General features: G+C 38.3%; 1 protein-coding gene across 54 annotated transcripts in view; it reads left to right on the forward strand.

Moving 5' to 3' along the window:
- Nucleotides 1–25,337, forward strand: part of ERC1 (ELKS/RAB6-interacting/CAST family member 1) — a 505,975-nt gene that overhangs the window by 200,257 nt on the left and 280,381 nt on the right. For 25 of the 54 annotated variants that reach the window (NR_027948.3, NR_027946.3, NR_027949.3 and 22 more), the window contains one exon: nucleotides 14,286–14,297. The exons of the other annotated variants lie outside the window; for them this stretch is intronic. Coding sequence is in view for 21 of the 25 variants with exons in the window: in XM_017019055.3 (XP_016874544.1) it covers nucleotides 14,286–14,297 (12 nt within the window). In the remaining 4 variants the exon portion in view is untranslated. The remainder of the gene's footprint in view (nucleotides 1–14,285; nucleotides 14,298–25,337) is intronic. 54 annotated transcript variants of the gene reach the window in all.

Below are 25,337 nucleotides of genomic sequence, written 5' to 3' on the forward strand. Positions count from 1 at the left end.
TGTTGAGGTGTCTGAAAGGCAACATAGAATGGGAATAAATTGGGAAGCTATGGGCTGTAACATAATTGATTGGCAAAAAAGAGAGTATTCATTAATTTAAAATTAAAGTTTTTTTTACTGGCAAATCAAGAGAGGACAAATGTCTACTTTTTAATTTCTCTATATAATGATCAAATGATCCTCAAGCAAAGGAGTTAATCTTTTATCACTAGTTTAGACCTTTGTTGTTGAGCTAATGCTCTGTTGGGCTATAAATTTTTAGACTTTTCACAGTTTTTATTGTTGAAAAGCACGCTGTTACTTCAGTGCATTAGATCAAAATTAGGAGGAGAGACACTTTGAGGACAATTTAGGAGCCACGGATATGTTTTTTTATGAAGCTGTCTCTGACTTGGAATTCTTCAAAATATTCTGTGTTTGAACAGATCTAGGCAGACAGGTCTCCTATAATTTTTTTGGTGTGTTTTCTTATTATTTTATGCTAAAGGTCAAGCATGTGCCTCTTGACCTCTTCTTTTACACCACATATTTAACATAAATGTAAAACTGTGCAGAAACAACTCTGCCGGTAGAACTTTGTTAATTACCTGTATTCTGAACAGCCAGAAAGACTGACAGTGACAGAAAGGGGTCACTAATCTACTTGGCCTTTTGAGGACTGATCCTTAAGAATAATTTTTTTTTTTTTATGATCTTGAAGGCTGAGAAGTATTAGAGTACTTCCATAAATTTTTTACTAAGTTTTAAAGTTTTGGGGTTAGTGGTAGACTTGATACTGTCCTCTGAAGGTATTATTTTTTCCTATTCTATAGTCATAGAATTTTAATTTTCAAGAAACCAAAACTATAAAGTCTAACCTTCACAGTTCTCCTTCACTGTACTGAAAGTGTAAATAACACGGGCTGATTACCTGCTCACTTATTTCCTCTTATTTTGGTATTAACTCTACTCATTTTGTTCAGTTCTGAATAAGATATATGGATAAAATTCTTTAAGTCAGAATTTTAAAATTACCATAGCCTCAAGATTAGATTATGTACATTTTTTATGTCTTCATTTTTGCACTGCACCCTTCCCCACAACACACACATGTACACATGTGTATATACCCCCTCACCCATTACGTGCTTACGTGAATACATGCCTCTCTTTGCTTTTGGAAAGGCTTGAAATCTGCAACAGTACTGCATAGATACAAAAATGCGGTGCTTTTGATTGATTAGTGACTTCCCACTAAATATATTTCAGAAAAGAAATTCCTTGAATAAGTTTTATTTTATGGTTTGATTTCTTATTAGAAATCTACATTTGAAATTATTGCTTGCTATTTCAGGCAGCTTGCTTGAAAATGTTTTTGACTCATTTTTGTCACCAATATTGATTTTGGGAGATGGATGTGAACTGAAGGAGAGTAAGAAATAGGACTAAGTCTGTACTTGATATCCAAAGCACACCAAATAGCAGCTTTTATTAGCCACTGTATTTCTCACATTTTGAGAAAGAGTTGTAAATGATCTACTCTTTCCACAGAATGTAACTCTTATAAAAGTTGGAAAAAGCACTGTAGAGTTCTGTCCTCTGGCCCTATTGCATTATAATTTCGTTTTAGGATTCAGCACAGTTTCTTGGCTACTGGAAAAAAAAAAAAAAGGAACAGCTTTCATAACTCAGCTTTTGCTACCAGGTTTGTAGTTTGCTACTTGGTAACATAGTTTAAGATGCTGAATAAACAGTAGAATCATGGAATTTGTGAAAGTGATCGAGCATGGCATTTTATGGAAGAGGAAACTGAGGCCCAGAGAAGTCATTGCTGAAGTGACGTGGTGGTTGAGCCAGAGCTAGTAGAATGTGGTTTGTAAATTCCAGATCAATTTTCTTTCTGTTCTGCCAAGGCTAGTTATGTTCCTTTTGGACTTCCTGGCAACTGTTATTTGAAGACTCCTTACCCTTAGGTGATTTATTCTTTTACCCCATTTGGACCCAATGTCTTAAGTAGAAGTGGTTATATTTAGTATTATGACTTGCTTACAAACTAAGGTAGATTTTAGTTTCACTTATGCCCTTGAATGCCATTTTTATAAACTGAGCTCTGCTTATTTTAGGAGATAATCAGTGCATTCTTTGTCAAAGACAGTTGGGATTATGTTATACCTCTTGTTCCCAGATTTAGTACTCGTTTGCATATGTGTGGCTGCTGTGTTTCTTACTAATCATTTGCTTCCTATGTTGCCATTCCACTATTTCCTATGCCTGTGTCTGTCTCCCTATAGTTTATCATTTGAGATTCTTCATTTTTCTTTTTGTCTTACCATGGTCCTGTTCCATTGGGGTTTTTGGCGTCTGTGTGTTTATATGTATATGCTCCTTCTGCCCCTTGGCCATGGCTGTTTCTCAGAAAGCCAGTCTCGTGCAAATTGTACCCTTCATGCCAGGTTTCTGTCCCTGTACCATCAGGGGGTTTTGTTTGGGACTTCCTGGGAAAGTGAGCATTAAGTAAGGTTACAGTCTTATACTAGAGTGAATTGCTACTGCTGCTTTTGCTACTGCTGGGGCTTGTTTGGAATTTTGCTTGATCAGAGTTAAAGAACAGCTGATTATATGTCAAGTTGAACTGTACCTCTTTAGGTACCCTACTTTTTGATATAATCAGTCTGTGTTCGTTCTGGTAAACTTCTGATATTGCTAGTTGTGATTGCTTTAGTCTTTGTTTTACTCTTTAAATAGTTCCTCAACTAATGTAACTGTAGTGCCACACTGTAGATTCAGCATGTAGAATTAATTTCTTAAGGGTGTTCAGCAACCCACTAAGTGCAAAAATGAAAGGAGACTGTTACAATAATTGAACTCAAGAAAATCCTTAGTATTCTTTGCATTTTATAGTGCTTCTTATAAAAGGATCTCCAATATTAAATGGTTCAGATTGTATTATGAAGGATTCCCAGGCCTGTTCTTTGTGATCTAAAGAAATAAATAAATAGGTCCTTCCCATGTTGGCTGTTACAGAAAATAAGAGTTCTTGTCAGAAGATGATTTAGTGTTGTCCTACTCTCTTGACCCACTGCAATTTTAAAAAGAAGATTGGATAAGCCCATTAATACATCTATAAATATAAAATATTTTCCCCAATTAAATCTTAAGAAGTAGTACTTCTAAATTCATGTTCCATACTGTGGTGCATATTAGTTGGAATTCAGTGAGAAGCAGAATTAGTAGGATACACACACACACACACACACACACATAGAGATAGATAAATACATATATACACACATATATAAACACACACAAGCATACATATATTATGAGATTTATACGTATATTTATATATATTAATATATGCCTACATATATTAAGAGATTTATTACAGAGAATAGTCTTGTAAAATCGTGGGGCTGGCTAAGCAAGACTGAAATCCCTGTGGCAGGCTATCAGGAAGAGAAGATCGTGAGCAGGATGGAACCTGTTGCAGGCACAAGCCAAAGCTGTGGTCCACAGGCAGAATTCCTTTTCTCTCCTGGGAAACCTCAGCCCTGTTTTAAAATCTTTCCAAAGGATTCATTTATGTCCATTGGGATTATCTAGGTTAGTCTTTTTTACTTAATTTGATTAGAGGCTTTAATTATGTCAGCAAACTACCTTCACAAGCACCATCTAGATTAATATTTGATGGAATAACTGGGCACTGTAACATAGACAAGTTAATATTTCAAAAAAGTCATCATCTGATGGTTCTGGATAGTATACAAATAAACAAACAAACCAGAGCTTGAAAAGTCGTTAGATAAGTAAATAAATTTAGAGTAGCCTCAGGAACCCTGAATGTAACTGCAAATTTCTCTCCTAAAATGAGCATATTAGAGTTTCTATTTAGATTAATAGTGAGTAGGCTTTTCTTTGCTATCATGTTTAAAATACTTAGAGTGGCTGGGTGCAGTGGCTCACGCCTGTAATCCCAGCACTTTGAGAGGCCTGAGGCAGGCGGATCACCTGAGGTCAGGAGTTTGAGACCAGCCTGGCCAACATGGTGAAACCCCGTCTCTACTAAAAACACAAAAATTAGCCAGGCATGATGGCACATGCCTGTAGTCCCAGCTACTCAGGAGGCTGAGGCAGGAGAATCGCTTGAACTCAGGAGGTGGAGGTTGCAGTGAGCCAAGATCATGCCATCGCCCTCCAGCCTGGGTGACAGAGCGAGACTCTGTCTCAAAAAATGAATAAAATAAAATAAAATAAATTAAATAAAGTACTTAGAAGCGTACTGGAGGCTGATACAGGATTGCTTGCTGTCTGCTTTTTCACTCACGCTGTCCATCTTAGCTGAATGTTCCCATGTTATAGCACCACCCTGGGAACATTGTCCCCTGTGCCGTATATTGTATTGTGCCTTATAATTTTGCTTTTTAATGTGCTTTGTTACCTTTTTTCTAATACCATGACTAATGGATTCACAGAGTTTAGTGTTTGCAGCAGAAATACTCAATTTTACTCTAGTATGAGATTGTTAGATTCAATATGCCATTCAAAACTTGTATTCAGAGAATGACAACCATCTGATTTTCATATAATTTAGATAACAGAGGTTGCCTTTGGTTTATCAAAGTTAGAAATTTTCAGTGATCCAAAGAATAATAGAGTCTATTATTGTGTGATCTAAAGATTAATAGGAATTGTGGATTTACTATATTTCCTGATTTGAGGGAATATAAGAACCGGGATTTTAATGGATATAGATTTTTTGGGGGCGGGGGGCAGGGTGTGTTTTGAAATTCAGCCAAGTGATTATTTATGGGATAGTCGAGAAAGACCTGTCTGATAAAGTTATTGATATATGAGCAGCGATTTGAAGGAGGGGCTCTATAAGAAGTCCGCAGAAGCCCCTAAAAAAACCACAACAACTTTGAGGCATAATTTACATACAATAAAATGCACCCATTTTAAGCTGATTGTTTGAGCTTTGACAAATCTATACACTTATGTGACTACCACCATGATCAAGATATATAGAACATTTCCTCATCCCCAAAAGTTCCCTTTTGCCCCTTTACAGCAAATCTCTTCCCAACCCTAGTCCCAGCCTCTGCAGATCTGAGACCTACTTTTAAAATTAATTTTATACATTAAACTTCAGTTTCTCCCTTTTGCCTTAACATTTAATTTTCTACTTTCCCATTCTAACACAACCACAAGTATGTGTAATTCCCTATTTCCTCAGCTCCAGAAGTAGATTCAGATTTTTTAAAGCCAATCAGGATAATAGCATTCTCTTTCTTAGTGACTAGTTTCGCATTGAGCACATATGCATTAGTGATTGGAAGGAAAAACCACAGGGAGGCTTCTGGGAATGATTTTCTTATAAGACAGACTTGCAAGAAGAAAGATGACCCCTTTCTCCTGAACATTATCTTGTCGGGATGTGATACCCATAATTGCTGCAGCTACTTCTGCCAACCTAAGATGAAGCCAGCGTCCAGAGAGTGACAGTTAACAAAACCTCAGCAAAGCAGAGTTGGAACTGAAATGGACTATTCCTGAAACTGCCTCTGTGCTGCTTGTTATGTGAGATAGGACAATTTCTGATTGTTTAAGCCAGTTTGAATGAGGATTCTCCGTTACTTCCAACCCAGTGCATTCAAATGGATATAATTATGTACTTATTTCCGCCCCCCCCCCCCTTTTTTTGTAATGGAAGCAATCATTTTGAAAAGAGTTAAAGTTTTTTGGTAAGTCAAATAAGGATCAATGCTGCTGAAAGCTGGGACAACACACGGGCCCTGACCAAATTGGGGTTTCTTTGTCTACCTCATACCTTCCAAATCAAAAAATAATTTCCCTAGTATTTTAATTACTCCCCCAAATCAGGAATAACTTCCTCACTGTGCTGATTTTGGTTCTTTTAAAATAAGGTGGTAATTTGAAGGTAATAGTTAAACCAGTCATAGATTATTCTATGCCATTCTTTTCAAATCAGCCCACTCAGGTGTCAGTCCTACTTTTCTTTTGTTGTAGTCCTCTTTATTCTCCTTTGTTTCTGCCTCCACCTCATCCCCCACCCAAATGCCTGGAACAGATCTCACCCTTTCGTCTTTTGAGAGGAATACATATAGCAGATTTTTGCCTCCGACTAGGCAGCTACTTTAAAGGGGGATGTATTTTGAATCTAAGGAAGATACCCAAAAATTTTAATGCAGTTTGTTTAGTTATATTTGTTCATTTTAGCTGCCCTGTCTACATCATGACTTTTTGGGTTGGGGGGGTATGTGTTGGAAAGGTTTCTTATGTAGGTTTTTTTTTTTTTTTTGACAGAATCTCACTCTGTTGCTCAGGCTGGAGTGTAGTGGCGTGATGACAGCTCACTATAGCCTAGACCTCCCAGCCTCAAGCGATCCTCCCACCTCCGTGTCTTGAGTAGGTGGGACCACAGGCACACACCACCATGCCCAGCTAACTGCTTAATTTTTTTGTAGGGCTGGTGCCTCACTATGCTGTCTAGGCTGGTCTTGAACTCCTGGGCTCAAGTGATCCCCTTGGCCTCCCAAAGTGCTGGGATTACAGGCATGAGCCACCACACCTGGTGCATGTGCGCACGCTATTTCTCTCTCTCTCTCTCTCTCTCTCTGTCTGTCTCTCTGTCTGTCTCTCTCTCACTCTCTCTCTCTCTCTCTCTGTCTGTCTGTCTCTCTCTGTCTCTCTACACACACACACACACACACACACACACACACACACACACACACACACACACACACATATATATATATATATTTTTTTTTTTTTTTTTTTTTTAAGACAGATTTTCCCTCTGTCACCCAGGCTGGAGTGCAATGGTATGATCTCAGCTCACTGCAACCTCCACCTCCCGGGCTCAAGCGATTCTTGTGCGTCAGCCTTCCGAGTAGCTGGGAATACAGGCATACACCACCATGCCCAGCTAATTTTTGTATTTTCAGTAGAGATGGGGTTTCACCATCTTAACCAGGATGGTCTCGAACTCCTGGCCTCAAGTGATCCGCCTGCCTTGGCCTCCCAAAGTGCTGGGGTTACAGGGATGAACCATTGTGCCTGGCCTAGATTTTTGTTATACAGATGTTTGAGGTTAAACAACTGGTCCTGCATTACATAAGTAGGTAGCAGAGTCATGCCTAACAATTCCAGTGTCTGTCTCTCCTTCCTGAAAAGAAATCCTTTTCAGGTGTTCAGTTTTCATTAATGACCTCACCTCCTAGAAGAGGAGGCTGTAGACAGCTAGATGATTCAGAGTCTGTTCACTTGAGGATCTTACTGAGGCCAGAGTCTTTCCCACATGCTGGAATGCCCACTTACAGGACAGGTACTGCATAACTGGCATGTGGGTTGTTTTGCTGCTAGGGGCCAGTTTTTCTACACATGTGCTTTTTAATGCTTCTCTCAGTCTGGACTCAGTTAAGGGATACGTCTGGCTCAAAGAGACTAAGACTCCATCAATACAGAAGCTATTGTCATTTCATTTATAGATTATGCTAGCATTGGCGTTTATCTATAGCTTGTCTAATAGCTAGAAATTCCAGTGATGAAATTTTAGTTCCTTAAGGTCTGGTTGAGCTCTACTGGAAGGTATCACTTAACATACCACAGAGGCTGGTCATCCCAGTTATCATGTGCCCAGAATGTAGTAGTATCAGAAAGAAAGGACTTGTTGAACTTTGGACTATTTTTTTTGTTTTGTTTTGTTTTGTTTTTGTTGCTTTTTTTTTTTGAGGCAGGGTCTCTCTCATCCAGGGTGGAGTGCAGTGGCACTATCACGGCTCACTGCAGCCTTAACCTCTTGGGCTCAGGTGATCCGCCCACCTCAACCTCCTGGGTAGCTGAGACTAGAGGTGCATGCCACCATGCCCAACTAATTTTTGTATTTTTTTTGTAGAGATGGGTTTTTGCCAGATAGCCTAGGCTGGTCTCGAACTCCTGGGCTCAAGTGATCCATCTGCCTCTGCATCCCAAAGTGATACGATTACAGAGGTGAGCCACTGCAGCCAGCCCTGAAATTTGGACTCTTAAGTCTTTGGTCTTTCCATGTTCGAAGCCAATATTAAATGATAGTAGCTTGGGAGGTTATTTGGTTGGAAGGCTAATAAGTAATTTTGGATCCTAAACTATTAATACTAATTTCAGGTCCTCCAACTCTAGTAGAGAGATACAGAATACAGAGGGAAAACCAAAATATTGCACTGCTACAATTATTCTGAGAAAGATAGAACTGGAGATCAGTTTTGTTGTTCGTATATACATAAAATTCTTAGGGCTAGCCTTGTGAGTAGTTATGATGGAGGTAACTTTGTTTTTCTATTTTGTGGTGGTTAATTTTATCTTCTTTGCTAACCATCTTTTCCATACCTCATTGTATTAGTTCGTTCTCATGCTGCTATAAAGACATACTTGAGACTGGGTAATTTATAAAGAAAATAGTTTTAATTGGCTCATGTTTCTGCGGGCTGTACAGGCTTCTGCTTCTGGAGTAGCCTCAGGAAACTTACAGTCATAGCAGAAGGTGAAGGGGAAGCAGGCACATTTACATGGCCGGCAGGAGAGAGAGAGCCAGCAAAGGGGGAGGTGCCACACACTTTCAAACAACCAGATCTTGTGAGAACTCTGTCACAAGACAGCACTAGGGGGATGGTGCTAAACCATGACAAACCACCGTCATGATCCAGTCACTTCCCACCAGGCCCCACCTCCAACACTGGGGATCACAGTTCAACATGAGATTTGGGTGGGGACAAACCACCGTCATGACCCAGTCACTTCCCACCAGGCCCTACCTCCAACACTGGGGATCACAGTTCAACATGAGATTTGGGTGGGGACAAACCACCGTCATGACCCAGTCACTTCCCACCAGGCCCCACCTCCAACACTGGGGATCACAATTCAACATGAGATTTGGGTGGGGACAAACCACCGTCATGATCCAGTCACTTCCCACCAGGCCCCACCTCCAACACTGGGGATCACAATTCAACATGAGAGTTGGGTGGGGACAAACCACCGTCATGATCCAGTCACTTCCCACCAGGCCCCACCTCCAACACTGGGGATCACAGTTCAACATGAGATTTGGGTGGGGACATAGAGCCAAACCATGTCACTCATCTGGAACTATTAGCTCTTGGCTTTTACATCATGATTAAACTTTAATTTTGTGGACTACCAAGACAACCTAGTGTGTATTTATAGTATTGTTTTTAAGGGAGTTATATTTTGATTTATAAACAACTGACTTTGTTAAAAAAAAAATGTTATGGCCAGGCACGGTGGTTCACGCCTGTAATCCCAGCACTTTGGGAGGCTGAGGCGGGTGGATCACCTGAGGTCAGGAGTTCGAGACCAGCCTGACCAACATGGTGAAACCCTGTCTCTACTAAAAAATAGGAAAAAAAAAATTAGCCGGGCATGGTGGCAGGCACCTGTAATCCCAGCTATTTGGTAGGCTGAGGCACAAGAATTGCTTGAACCTGGGAGGCAGAGGTTGCAGTGAGCTGATACTGTGCCATTGCACTTCAGCCTGGGCAACAAGAGTGAAACTCCCATCTCAGAAAAGAAAAAAAAAAAAAGTTATGTGATCTGTTCATAGGATTTGGGCTAAATTCTGAGCATACTAAGAACACCCTTGATTAAAAACAAAAATCAACAAGATTAGCCCAAATCCTATGAACAGATTACATAACTTTTTTTTTTTTTGGAACACAAAGAATGAATGAGGTCATTTTCCTATCATGCCAGTAGTGATTTTTAATCTGGGAGTGTTATTTGCACATGTGTATGTGTAAGAGAAAGAGAACTTTTCTGATGGCATTTGGGAAAATAGCTGCCAGGCTTCAACTTAATGCCTAAAGATTATTGCCTTTTGAGTTTTTAAATTTTCTTTTAAAGATTTCACAACTAGTTTCTAAAATTTTTATACAATGAAAATGGAGGTTTTTATTTTTCATAAATCTTCTAAAATGTGTTGGCAAACTTGAACTAGTTTATAGGATGATATTACCAATTTTTGGCTTGATAGCAGTCAAATTTTGAAGATGAATGCTTTTTTTCTTATCTGTCTTTTCTTATTCTTTTCTCTTTGACTGAAAGTTTTGTTCCCTTTATTTGTTTGTGGGAATCTGACCTATTTTAAATGTTACTTTTTTTGAAAAAGAAAACTTTACTGACCTCCTTTCGCTAGTAATCTCTCTTTCCTTTACTTGTGCTTTTCCAGTAGTAACTATCACATTCTGTCCTGTGACTGTACATTAGAGAGACCAATGTATATATGTTATAAAAGAGAAGTAGCACTCTTTTCTCATTCTGCTATCTAATCATCTCACATTTCCTTTTCTTTTTTTTTTTCTGAGGCGGAGTCTCTCTCTGTCGCCCAGGCTGGAGTGCAGTGGCACGATCTCGGCTCACTGCAAGCTCCGCCTCCCGGGTTCACACCATTCTCCTGCCTCACCCTCCTGAGTAGCTGGGACTACAGGCGCCCGCCACCACAGCCGGCTAGTTTTTTGTATTTTTAGTAGAGATGGGGTTTCACCGTGTTAGCCAGGATGGTCTCGATCTCCTGACCTCGTGATCCGCCCGCCTCGGCCTCCCAAAGTGCTGGGATTTCAGGCGTGAGCCACTGCACCCGGCCCACATTTCCTTTTCTTACCATTGCCCATAATATTCAGACCCTTTAGGAGTTAAAAAGAGAGATTCAGTAGTCTCCCATACCTTGATATTATATTGAAAATATTTTTATATTTCTTTTATATGTACATAGTATGTTTACACATGTACATGTTTATATATGCATACATATATATTTGCACGTTTTTCCTTCTGTAAAAATGTAAGTACATTCATCTGCCTATATTCTTATACAATTTAATATAATTCAGTTGAATTACTTTTAGATTTGTAGATTAAACAAAAGTGTAGATAACTTTCCCTTTCTCCTTTTTGTCACAATGAAATGCCATTTCTGACCTTGTTTTTGTATTTTAACATCTCTGAAATTGGGATACACGTACAAGTAAATGGCATGGTATAATCTAATTGGTATAACTTTTTTTCTTTCTCAGTAATATAAAATACTTTTTACTATGATGTGTCTTCTATCCTTGGTGAATTGATGTTAAGAATGCATTCAAAGAGTGAATAAAATTGTTTTGTTGAATGTGGGAGTAGGAGAAAGTAGTATTTCTAAATTAATATTATTTTGTCATATATTTCATTTTAAATGTACGTGTAGTAACCAAGTGAATGTATTTACTAGTATAAATTGTAAATTAGATATTTGACGGGTTTACCTATATGCTGAGTTTGTTTATTTAGGTTGACCAAAAACGGTTTCTTTTGGACCATCTCCTTGGCAAAATGGGCTTTATGATATTACTTTATGTTAGTATCCCATTATATTCAGGCATCTGTTGCATAGTGTAACCCGGAAATGTAAACCTAGGTATTTAGTCTTTATTCTGGTAAATATTTTTCCTTAAATTTTGAATTGATAGTCATTTACTGTGTCTTCAAAGATCTACCATATAGAAATTAAGCCGTATGCAAGATTGACATAAACTGCTATATAATTCATGAGGAAAGTGTCTCTTTAGAGAAAAATATTCTTACTTTTAAATTTATGGATATGCATCTTCAATCCATGAAGTATAGTGTCAGAGAATATGCTCTTAATGTGGTTAGAGTGGAAGAGAGATGACTGGGGCTGCGGATGGTGGCTCAGAGTAATTATATAATATGTGTTCTTGCTTGAGGGAGAATGGTCTGTGTTTAAAAAATGAAAAAACTGAAAAGGAAAAGAAAGATACCAGCATATTACAACTGAAGATGACTGGTTCTTTATCTGATCCTGCTTGCTTCAGCTTGCTTTCTGGGGAAGCTGCTTGTTTCTTTCTTCTTCCTCCTTGATGAATATCATAGACTTCCTTTAAAAGGAGAGTAAGTTACAAAGCTTTTTGTAGTCAGTTCTGTTAGGTTATCTTCCCAAAGTTTCCTGTGGGCACAGCACCTTATAGTTTGTTACTGTGGTCTTACAGGAATCTGTGTTTAATGGCTACTGTAGTGTTTCACCTAAAAGTATAAAGATTAGGATTACATATAATTCGATGTACAGATTTTTTCTCCTGAAGTTATTTCCCAAGAGTTACAGTTTAGCCGGACGTGGTGGCTCATGCTTGTAATCCTAGCACTTTGGGAGGTGAAAGTGGGTGGATTGCTTGAGTCCAGGAGTTCGAGACCAGCTTAGGCAAGTGGCGAAACCTCGTCTCTACAAAAAATACAAATATTAGCCAGTTGTGGTGGTGTTTGTCTATAGTCCCAGCTATTTGGGAGGCTGAGGTGGGAGGATCACTTGAGTCTGGGAAGTAGAGTTTGCAGTGAGCCAAGATTGCGCCACTGCACTCTAGCCTAGGTGACAGGTGAAACCCTGTCTCAAAAAGGAAAAAAAAAGAGTTGTAATTTGATGCTAAAGTGAAATATGATTCATGAATAATAAAGTAGGTAAAAATTAAATTAATAATTAAAGTTGCTCTCTGGCAGGAATGCATTCCATTTTTTCCCATGGATTTACCCGTGTGTTATGTAAAAACTTGCATACAAAGAAGACTCAGTTAATGTCCTTGTTCATCTAAAATTATTTTGACTTCCTGTGTCACAACCAATGAGATAGAAGGATCATTGGGAACAATCATTTAGAGATCGGCTTCTTTCTGCCTTTGAACATTGTCTGCATTTTACACAGCGTTATAGATGCTAAACGTTCATGGAGTTTTATAGACTCCTAAGGAAGCATCATAAAACAGATAAATTATGCCCAGGTGAGATGTCAGCAGACCTACATTCTTACTCTTTTTGAGACGGAGTCTTGCTCTGTTGCCCAGGCTGGAGTGCAGTGGCACAATCTCGGCTCACTGCAGCCTCCACCTCCCTGGTTCAACCGATTCTTGTGCCTCAGCCTCCTGAGTACCTGGGACTACAGGCGTGTGCCACCACGCCTGGCTAATTTTTGTATTTTTAGTAGAGATGGGGTTTCACCGTGTTGGCTAGGCTGGTCTCAAACTCCTGACCTCAGGTGATCTGCTTGCCTCGGCCTCCCAAAGTGCTGGGATTACAGGCGTGAGCCACTGCGCCTGCCCGGCTGCTACATTCTTATTCTGTATCTGCCACTCAGGCACCATGTGATTGCCAGCAAGTCGTTTTGTTTCTGTTTTTCATCTCTTCATGTTACAAGGTAACAAATCTTGTCCTTCTTATCTGTTTTTATTCTCACAATGACTTTTTAAAACTTGTAAGTACTGAATTATACTTTTGCAAGACATCACTAAGTCTTAGAAAACATTAAAGTATAAATGGAAATGGTGCTTGCATTCAAGAAATAGATATTTTGTTTCAGATTCTTAAGGTACAATTTAGACCATGAAGCTAATCCAGATGATACTGGTCGTTAGAAGCCCTAACTATTTGGAGGATCATACTAATTACAGTGAAACTGATTACTTTTTGAAAAGAGAAAAACTGCTTGTTGTTGTAAAAGACAGTAATGAACTGTAAGGGCTACATGCTGTGCAGGAATATTAAGCATGACTGCTTTATATCTCCTACTGCTAAGCAGCATTGGAACTGAATTGATGTAAACAAGCCTGTGTATTCTTGTTCATTATTGCTTTTAGATTGCACCATTTGAGGATTGTGGTAGATTTGGAGTGAGAAGTACTAGTTGTTATTAGGAGAAAATTATGTTTTAACATTTGAGAAAATTATTTCAAGTACATTAAAGTTCTGTATTCTACAGAAGCTGTGTTTTTCTGCTTTTGCTTTTAGATAACTTGGATTCTCTTAATGGAATGGGGTGGTTAAGGCGTAGTTAGTTATAAGGTGGGTGTCTATAAAACTAAGCAGACTAAAATTGTGCAGTTACTTAAAGCCAACTCTGACTACTTAAATGAGAATGAGATGGCTAACCTTCTCTATTTTTCTTAGTGTTTAAGAAATTGTTTTTTTTTTCCTGCCCCAGGAAATGGTAAATTTTAGACAACTTTTTTTTTTTTGAGAAACTTTCATTAAAATACAATGGTGTAATCTAATAAGAAAGTAAATTTGTTGAGAGTTGAAAATCTGAAATAATTCTTTTTTAGTGACTGTATAGAATTTGTGACTCCTTCCCTTCTCTAATCCTGCATTTTATGATGTCCATGAATAATATTTCTGAATATTGTCCTTATTAATTCTTTCTAACTTTCTTTTTCACATTTTCTTCCTGGATTTCCTGTTTCCTTCAGTCTCACCTCAAGGTCAGTATGCTTGCACTAAAACAAAGATGATGTGATTGAGCGTTGTTTGCGAATATTGTCTTGAATTCTTACAGGGAACTGAACATATTTCAGGAGAGGGATATCTAGAAATCTAGCTGTGAGGATAAAATGTCAAGGGTATTGGGTTTATCAGAAGAGTGTGTTCAGATTTTTGTGCTTTGAAAAGGTAGTGTGAGTAGTCAGAGAGCAAGAACCAGATGGCCAGGTTTTGACTGAGAGAGAAGTGGAGATGAAAAGAGCATTACGAGGAAAGAGGAGGGGAAAAAGAATTGTGTTAATGTAATTGAACATTCAGTGGAGACATTCTGGCTATTAAACGGGGTAAAGTGCCGCAAAAATGATGGAGGGAAAGTCACAACTGCCTATAGCTTTATAGAAGAAACCTTGAATTATTTACTGAGACGAACTTTCAGACACACACACACCCACATCCTTTAAATTTTGGTTTCATTTTGTGACTCTGCTGGGTGGTAGAACTAGTGATAACAAAAACAGCAACGATTACTGCTATTTATATGTGCCAGAGGCACTGTAGCGGAACATATTTTGTTTCAGTTGATCTTAGCAACTATGAAGAGAGATTTATTATTTTGATTTTTTAGTTGAAAAAGCACAAGTGCAGAGACCATTAAGTAACTTGCCCATCTTCATTAGTAAGTAAATAGTGAGAGAAGCGGCACAAAACAAAAATCTGCATTTAAAAAGTTACTTATTTTGCATATGAGCCATGACAATATAAAGTGTGAGGATTTCTGATAGGATTCAGAAATGAGCCTGTTAATATCATATGTGTTTTACCTAGCAGCTGCCTAATAATAATAGCGATTATATATATGTGTGTGTGTGTATATATATATATATATCTGTGTGTGTGTGTGTGTATATATATATATATAGATATATATTTGCTGTTTATAAAAGCACCTCTTTGACTCAACAGCTAGCATATGGGTTACACTGGGATAAGTGTTAAAAGAGTTAGCCCGCCAAAAAAGAAAATAAATTGAAAAAAATTTATGCCCCCTGCCCATTTTGAGTAAGCTGTATTCATTACAGAAGGAATCTTAAAGTGTTTGTAATAAAAATAGCAAACACAAATACTGCATTTAAAAAATAGATTTTCCCGTTTCTAATCTAAACATTTTCTCCACATATTGTAGTAGAACAGTATGGGTACCACTTAAGTAATTCCAATTAGGTGGCAAAATCTGAAAGCAGTTGAGTTTTAGTATAAAAATTTCATGAAGTGTTTTGCCTTGTGTTTAGAGAACTTTCATCTCTAACTTAAGCTTCAAGCTGACTCATTTTAGTGGGAAGTTTTATCATTTGTCCCATAGTTAGTCCTTTGCACGACTGGTTTTGCTCTCAGTCTCTCTAAATGAAACCCTGGGAAAAGCTTCAGAAGAATTTGACCGTGAAGCCATTGGTATATACATAATTCACTGAGTTACAGGTTATATTAATTGTAATATTGTTAGCTGGTTTATTTTAGTTAACTTTTACCCAGCAGCAAATGCCATTAAATCATACTTATTTCTAAATAAGTTTATTTTCCAAGGAATACAAAATAAAATAGTCATTGTTTTTTCAGTGGCAAAGATCATCTTAGCTGTAGTATGCAAAAGTTTAAAGTCTCTCTTCATTCCAGATTATGATTTAGTGCAGTATTTTTTTTCTAGATAGAAACATTTTACCATTTTAATTGTGGTTTTGCCAAGTCCAGTTGAATAGGTCATAAAGAGAGTATAATTTATTACTGCTTTGATACTGGATTGTTTGGGTGACTTCATTATATGACCTTGGGCAAGATACTTAACCTTTCCATGTTTATTTTAACCACTTGTTTTGTGTTAATAGTGATGCTTAGCTGTAGTATTTGTATTTTAGTGTCTCCACTAAACATTTCTATTTTGCAGAGGTTTATTTTTATTCCTCTCTTCTCCCTTGTCTTCTTCCCCTGCCCTGCTCTCCTCTGTCTTCCTTTGCATTCAGTACAGAGTAGTGAGATTTTATTTAGAGTGATACTGACTGAAGACTCACATTTTCTATCTTCAGACATACACATCTTTTTATTTCCTGTTCAATGACATTAGCACCAGAGAGTGAATACAAAGAAATTATTCCATGTATAGATGAAAATATATGATTTGGTTCAGAATTCTTCTTTTGGCTAACGGTCATTCAGAGATGAGAGCTATAAATGTCATCTCTATTCTCATTAACACTTAGGTCTAAAATTGAGCTCAATATTATTAATATCTATGTTTTAATTATCAGTTACCACTGTAGACTTGTTTTTAAAACAAATGTTTAGAATATGTGTGATAGTTCCTAACAACTTCATTAACCCATTTATACCAGAGGTTGCACATTTTTTGTGTGTGAAGAATCAGAGCTTCGTGATGACCTTGAGCAGTAGGATATAAATAACTACCACAAGCTTAGCATTCCAGTAATAGAACACTAGGCATAAAAGGGTTAAGACCAGAGTCCCTATGTTGTTAAAAGTTAAAATACTTTTATACTTTGCCCCCCAAAAAATCCCATTGTTATAGTCTCTTTTATATAGTTTGATGGAAACATTTCACATTAATTTCTAAAATCTAATTCAAATAGTTATTTCTCTGATTACACACTTTAAAAAGATTTTTTACATTATTGTCTGATTTCATTAAGAAAAGGCACTATACTAGTTGCTAAAACCTCATCATAAGATATATCACTCACAAAAATAGATGTAATTGTATTTTTGAAAGGGTTAGTTTCTTATTTTTTTAGCTAAAGCTTTTTTTTATAGGCCCTAGAAAATTTCTGACCCCATAAAATCTATTTACAAGGAGTTTGACTTATGGGCAAGAGTTTATAACCCAGGAGAATGATCGTTATTATTTGCATTTTTAGCTTCCACTTTTCATTCCTTTCGCTTTTTTAAGCAACTCTATTGTTCAAGAGCGTATTTCTTATTATTTTTCTTTCAAATAATAGTGCCTAGTGTTTTTGTAATAGTCTGCACAAGCAAGTGTAACATCTTCTCTGTTAAATAACATCTGCTGGTGTAGTAGTGTACTCTTTTGAATAACTCATTGGTGGGAAAAAAAATACGTGAATGCAGACTTGTGCTGATCTTCCTAACTCTTCTACTGAAAATGATAGTTTTATGCTATCATGCATTGATAAATGGTAAATGTTTTTTTAGATAGCAATTGTAGATCACCACGGTTGTAGATCACCACAAATTCTGTAAATCAGCTGAAGATGGCAAATTCAACAGAGAAGGGAAGAAAGAATAATTTTAAAGTTGGCCAAAATTTGAGTTTTTATAGAGTTGCCAGATTTAGCAAATAAAAATATGGATGCCCAGTTAAATTTCATATAAACCACAAATCATCTTTTAGTATGTCTTATAATAACTATTGGGCCATACTTACTCTGGCACCCACCCCCCCATCTCAGTAAAACGACAGAAACACGTCTGATTTCTGATTACAGTTTGACACTGTTAAAAATGCTATCACCTTCTTTATCTCACTTCACCTCATAACAACTATATGAATTGGATGACATTTTCCCGTTTCACAGATCAGAAAATTGACTTTACAGAGATGAGATGATTTACTTCGGGTCATAGCTACTAAGTGGCAGAATCTAGGGTACAAATCTAGTTTGTCTCATTTCAAGTTTACTTCACACTTTCCTTTCCTCTGTATCAAGCTTGTCCAACCCATGGCCCACAGCCCATGGCCTGCATGCAGCTCAGGTCAGCTTTGAATATGGCCCAACACAAATTTGTAAACTTACTTAAAACATTATCAGCTTTTTTTCATGTTTTTAAGCTCATCAACTATTATTAGTGTTAGTGTATTTTATGTGTAGGCCGATAATTCTTACTCTTCCAGTGTGGCCCAGGGAAGTAAAAAGATTAGACACCCCTGCTCTATATCTTGTTCTGTTATGTGTTTGTGACATCTAGAGATGACATGCAGGTTGTAATACCTTTTTAAATTTATGCTTTTTAGATCCTTGGAGCATGGGGGTGAAGGGTTGGATTACTTGTATTATTTGGTTTGCACAGTGTCCAGAGAAGCAGAATGTGTGGTCTTGGAGTGGAAACTGCATGCAGCTCTATCTCTTATTTGGCAGCTGTTGGCGTGTTCCAGTTGTGTCTTCTTTTGATTATACTAAGCCTGTCTTGTATGGGAAATTGATTAATTCTGAATAAAATAATGATATTGCAATCAGCAATTAAATTGTTTTTTTGTTTTGTTTTGAGATGAGTCTTTCTCTTGTTACCCAGGCTGGAGTGCAGTGGCGCAATCTCAGCTCACTGCTTTCAAGCAACCTCCGCCTCTCGGGTTCAAGTGATTCTCCTGCCTTAGCCTCCCGAGTAGCTGGGATTACAGGCACTTGCCACCACGCCCAGCTGATTTTTTTTTTTTTTTTTTTTTTTTTTTTTGAGGTGGAGTCTTGCCCTGTCTCCCAGGCTGGAGTGCAGTGATGTGATCTCAGCTCACTGCAACCTCTACCTCCCAGGTTCAGGCAATTCCCCTGTCTCAGCCTTCTGAGTAGCTGGGATTACAGGGGTGTGCCACCATGCCCAGCTAATTTTTGTATTTTTAGTAGAGACAGGGTTTCGCCACGTTGCTCAGGCTGGTCTTGAACTCCTGACCTCAGATGATCCACCCGCCTCGGCCTCCCAAAGTGCTGGGATTACAGGCGTGATAAACTGTTTTTAAAGCAGTCTCATGATGGCTTTATTTGCAAGGGGGCTATTGGTATGTATTGTTCCCTATGATTATCAATACATTTGGAATTCACATAGTTAAACAAACTTATGGTTTCATGTAGCAATGTTTGGGATTTCTTCATAGCATTTTTTTTTTTTTTTGCTCTAATTCTTAGGTGAGATTGGCTAGTCTGTCACCATTTGTAGCCTGTTGTATGAGATGTTCCTATAGTATGGACTAGTTCATTCATTTGTGTTGTCCTATTTATCAACATTTTCTGCCTTGCTCAAGAAATGCTCTATAACGCAACTTGTATTTCAGATATTGGGTAATTTGATTATTTTATAAGATCCTTTAGAACAGTGCTTCTCAAACTTAAGTGTCATACAAATTGGATGGGAGCTTGTTAAAATAGAGTTCTTATTTGATGGATTTGGTTGGGGCCTGAATTTTTCTACCTTTCGAAAAGCTCCCAGTTGGTACTGATACTGTTGGTCTGTTGAGCGTGCTTTGACTCACAAGATTTTAGTGAGTTAACGTTTTTCAAATAGATTTTTCTCCTTTTTTAAAAAATTCACAAACATTTAACAATATCTCTGTTGATTTATTTATACTAGCTCATATTTGAACTTGTTATAAAAATCGACCTTTCCTTGGGTTTAGGATATCAAGGTGACCGTTTTGCCTTTGTTAAAGGACGTCTGAGGTTTTCTATTGGCATGGGTACAAGAGTCAGGTTAAGATTTCAGGATGTTAGAGCAAAAGCACTGTTTTCACTGGCACCTGTTGCCTTGTTGCTTTAAATGTATAAAAGCATATTGAACAGTGGAACAAAGTGACAAGAAATTTAGGGTGAGGCAACTGGAGAAAAGAGTCACAAACTTCAGAACTATTGAGTTGGCTTCTTGGGTATGGCTTATGCTTTCACAGAAACCTTCCTTCCAACCTCTAGTTTCTGTTGTCCATGTATGTGGCTTTGAGGTCTCAGAATTTGAGATTGTGCTTTGGGAGAAACAGACAAGGAAATCAGTGGCCTTCACTGGCAGCTGGCAGACCTGTAAGTGATGTGGTTTAATTGTGTGTACGTCAGGATTGCTCTGTCTTTAAGACGGTCTTTTTAAGCTGCAGTGTTTATCCACTGTTGGCATTTTCTTTGTTGGTGAAGTTGTATTCTTTTGTTTTAATCTTCCAGCTCTTGTCTGGGTTGTCAAATGTTTGAGCATGATAGCAAAGATCTCAAAACTAGTTCTTTTTGCAAGCAGATCTCATCTTTAAGGTGTAGTGTAATGGGATTCAGAAACTTGACTCCTGTCATAGGCAGGAGGGAAATGTGTGTTTAATTTTTCTTTACTTCGCTTTCCTTCATTAATATGGGATTGTTATTATTATTTTCTGGTGTGTTTGGGATAGTTGCTGTCAATGGCTACAAAAGACAGTTTTAAGATTCTTTAGCTAGGGCTGGGCATGGTGGCTCACGCCTGTAATCCCAGCATTTTGGGAGGCCGAGGCAGATGGATCACGAGGTCAAGAGGTAAAGACCAGCCTGGCCAACATGGTGAAACCCCGTCTCTACTAAAAAATACAAAAATTAGTTGGGTGTGGTGGCATGCGCCTGTAGTCCCAGCTACTCAGGAGGCTGAGGCAGGAGAGTCTCTTGAACCCGGGAGGTAGAGGTTGCAGTGAGCTGAGATTGTGCCATGCCTAGCAACAGAGTGAGACTGTGTCTCAAAAAAAAAAAAAAATGTAGCTAGCTGTTTGGCCTAGGTATTACAAATTTCAATGTTTGTTATTGTAAGTTTCTATATTCAAAAATCACTTAAGTATGTTACACAACTATTTTGAAACTGTTAGTGAAAAATAATCCCCTTCAAATGCAATCTTTTAAATTGATATATATATATATATTTTGAGACAGAGTTTCGCTCTTATTGCCCAGACTGGAGTGCAATGGCACAATCTCGGCTTACCGCAACCTCCGCCTCCTGTTTTCAAGCGATTCTCCTGCCTCAGCCTCTGGAGTAGCTAGGATTACAGGCGTGCACCCCCATGCCCGGCTAATTTTGTATTTTTAGGAGAGACAGGGTTTCTCCATTGTTGGTCAGGCTGGTCTCGAATTCCCATCTCAGGTGATCCACCCGCCTCGGCCTCCCAAAGTGCTGGGATTACAGGCGTGAGCCACCGTGCCCGGCCTAAGTTGAGATGTTAAAAGGAAAGTACTTTGCAGATGACTTTCCAAGAAAACTAGAAGGAACAATTGGCTTGGGGAAGTGATCATAATGATATAACTTGGATATAATCAGAACTTTTTGTCTTTTTTCTGAGATGGAGTTTCGCTTTTGTCACCCAGGCTGGAGTGCAATGGCGCAATCTTGGCTCACTGCAACCTCTGCCTCCAGGGTTCAAGTGATTCTTTTGCCTCAGCCTCTCTAGTAGCTGGGATTACAGGCACTCACCACCACGCCCAGCTAATTTTTTTTTTTTTTTGTATTTTCAGTAGAGACATGGTTTCGTCATGTTGGCCAGGCTGGTCTTAAACTCCTGATCTGAGGTGATCCACCATCCTTGGCCTCCCAAAGTGCTGGGATTACAGGTGTGAGCCTCTGTGTCCGGCCATAATCAGTTCTATACAATGTGTTGTGAGAGGAAAATTCACCACAGGCTCTTTACCTTATTTAAGGAGGTCAATTAAATATAAACCATAGTAGCTTGCTTATTGTCATTATTAGTTTATTGATGCAACAGTAGAGTAAGTTGATTCTTTCCTACATTACTGCAAAAGCTATCTAATGCTTCCTCCTGTCCACTCTCATTATGTTTCCCTTTCAGCTTGTTCCAAATTTTGGGAAATCTGATTATATCACTTCCTTATATAAGTCCTATATACTTTGGGTAAGCTACGCATTCCTTGCTTAGCATATAATTGTTTGGCTTTGCTTACCTTTAGCTTTCTTTTTCTCTACTCTCTCCTCCAACTTTAAGCTATAGTCATTCTGAACCATGAGGTTTTCCCCAAGATAACACATTCTCCTTTTCCTCAGGTTTTTGTTCGTAGTTCTTCTCTGCCTAGTACTGGATCACCTGCCTAGTAACTTGGACTTAATCCCTTAGGAAAGTTCAGATACTGTTTTTCCAGGAAGCCTTTCCTGATCATCACCACCACCTCCACCTCCAGACTAGCTTAGGGCTCTTTCCTGTCCACTCTAATAGCACTTGTTATATACTGTATTTCCTTAGATGCCTGGGAAGTATTTGAGAGCACGAACAATTTTTATTCATGAAATTGTTGCAGGAATTTTTCTTAGTTCAGCTAAAGACGGGGTCCTTGTCACACAGCCACGAAAATTTAGGCTTGTGTACGATTCGAACGTTGAGTAGGACAGGGTTTTATTGGGTGAAAAGGAAAAGGGGGAAACAGGGCCTCTCTGCAGGCCAGATTCCTTGCTAGAGTGCTTCCCGCCTTGCAGATTGACTCCCAGGTTACACCCGTGAAAAGGAGGGGCCAGGCTCCTCCCTGCTGCACAAGGTGCAGATTTCTGTAGCTCCATCCCAGTGTGCTCTCCTCCCAGGGCACCGCTGGCTGGAGTTTCTCTGGGGACCCCTTCCTACCTGGCTTTCTCAAAATTGTATCCTCAGTGTTTGATATATAATGGTAGTATTTAATGAAATATTTGTCTATTTAATGAGTAGTGAATATGTAAAAAACTTAGCAGGCTGTCAAAGCTTAGATAAATGTGATCCTCTTACATCCCAGAGCCTATTTTCTCCTGGGCAATGCCTAAAGCTTATTTTTTAGTTGTCTAGTAATCCCGATTCTGCCCTTTGTGAGGTTAGTCTTCTTCACCTTTACCTGTAACCTAGCATTTAGTCTAGTTTTCTGACCTACCGGTATTTTTTTTCTAGATGTAAAATTATTTCCTGACTCTTTCTGCCTAAATCTTTTGGCTTCCATTTTGACTATTCACATAAAGAGGGAAAAACCCCATAGTGTCTTACATTTATTTAGTACCTAGTAGCTTAAAGTGCACTTTCACATTCACCATCTAATGTGAGTGAAGAGACAGATTCTGTGGAAGAACTAAACTCATCTGGTCATACTCATCATTTCAAGTGGGAAGAAAGTGGTAGCTTTGAAAAGGAAGAGTGCGTAGAAATACTGTTGTAGAGTCGAAACTTGCTTTCAGAGGAGTTGAGTTTTAAGACCGGGTGCGGTGGCTCATGCCTGTAATGCCAGCACTTTGGGAGGTCGAGGTGGGCGGATCACTCAAGCTTAGGAGTTTGAGACTAGCAGGGCCAACATGGTGAAACCCCATCTCTACTAAAAATACAGAAACTGCCTGGTTGTGGTGGTGGGCACCTGTGGTCTTAGCTACTTGGGAGGCTGAGGCAGGAGAATCTCATGAACCCAGGAGGCAGAGGTTGCAGTGAGCCGAGATCACTGCCACTGCACTCCACCCTAGGCGACATAGCAAGACTCCATCTCAAAAAAAAAAAAAAAAAATTGCCACGCATGGTGGTGCATGCCTATAATCCCAGCTACTCGGGAGGCAGAGGCACAAGAGTCACTTGAACCCAGGAGGCGGAGGTTGCAGTGAGCCGAGATCACGCCACTGCACTCAGCCTTGGTGACAGAATGAGACTCTGTCTCCAAAAAAAAAGAAAAAAAATAAGGAAAAGTTGAGTTTTTAAAAAAGGAAATGAATCCATATGAGAATGCCAGGGTACTTACATCATTGGATATGCTGCACTTTTGGAAAGAAAAAAGACACTGAAAGATGAAATTTCCTAAGAACAGAGGAATACATGCTGTTAACCATGGTAATAGAATCCTGGTAAGGTAACAACTCTGTAGAGCAGTGGGTTTCTGCCTTCTGATTTATGTACTATGTACACCATCTTCATTTCATATTTGGTATCAGAGATCTCCCAGGTAAACAGTATTTGCTTATAATTTCTATAGTAGAGAGGTTAAAAGTATCGTAGTTACAGTCAGACAGACCTGAGTTTGAGTACTAGTTCTAGGATGTTTAAAACTGATTTTGGGTAATGATTTAATTTTATTGAAGGTTTGCTCTTTTCATTTTTAGTGTGGAGTTAATAAAACCTCATAAAACATTTTGAATAAGATGATAAATATGCTGTGATAAACATTAAGGTCCTTGGTATATAATAAGTACTTGTAAGGGTTATTATGGTATTATATTTAGCATAGCGCTAGAGTTAGATATAAACATATAACACATAACTTCAATAGTATCCTCCTTCCCTCCACTCCCCGCCTCCCGGCCTCCCCTCAAAGAGTGAAGAAGAAGCATATTCCATGTTTGTTTGGATCTTAATGAAAGGGCAAATTTAGATATTTAAATTTATATATTAACATATAAAACATAAATATGCGTGTGTGTATACATACACACACACACACACACACACACACACACACACACATATGTTTGGGGTGAGGAGAAAAAGGATATGTTAGTAACCTCTTGCAGTGTGCCAAATCTTACGCTAAGCATTTTCCATGCATTATTTTATTTACTTCTCACAGTTCTATAAGAGATGGGCATTATTCCCATGTCATAAATAAAAAAGATAAGAACACTCTGAAGCTTAGAGAGGCTAAAGATCATATAGATAATGAATAGTGAACCAGCATTTAACCTAGAGCTCTTTAGCCCTTAAAACTTTTGCTTTTAACCACTCTACCATTTGTATTCCTGTTAGGAGTCTCCTCACATCCCTTGGGAGACCTTGAACATATTCTGAGATTTACAAGTTACCATGTTAATTTTATGATTTTGTATTTTCATTTCAATGACAATAAAAAAGTTTATATACATATTCTGGATCACCTGGGTGACTGTCTTACAATGAAATACCCTATGTAGTTTCATTTATATTTATGGATATCATCTCATTGTCTTCAGGTATTACTGTTATAATTGTCATGGGCCAATGAGAAAAGAACAGTGGTGGGCCTAATCCATACTGTTGCTTTTTATCCAAGCAGAGTTCAAATGATGTCATAATGTACTATAAGCAGCAAACTTTTTTTAAAAAGTAATTTGACAAAATTTCTGAGACAGTTGGATCATCTTACAGCTCAAAACAAAACAACTTGGACAATAGTAATAAGTACCATGAGTGCACTGTGAGCAGCAATTTAACAGCATATTCAATTAATACTGGTACTTTGCACTATGTCTTTTGGTTTGAATTGCATTCAATTTGGGAACTCTAGATCTAATATTTGCATTTTTTACAGTATTACAATTTATCAGTGGATCTAGAAAAT

Source organism: Homo sapiens, chromosome 12, assembly GCF_000001405.40.
Source record: "Homo sapiens chromosome 12, GRCh38.p14 Primary Assembly".
Lineage (NCBI taxonomy): Eukaryota > Metazoa > Chordata > Mammalia > Primates > Hominidae > Homo > Homo sapiens.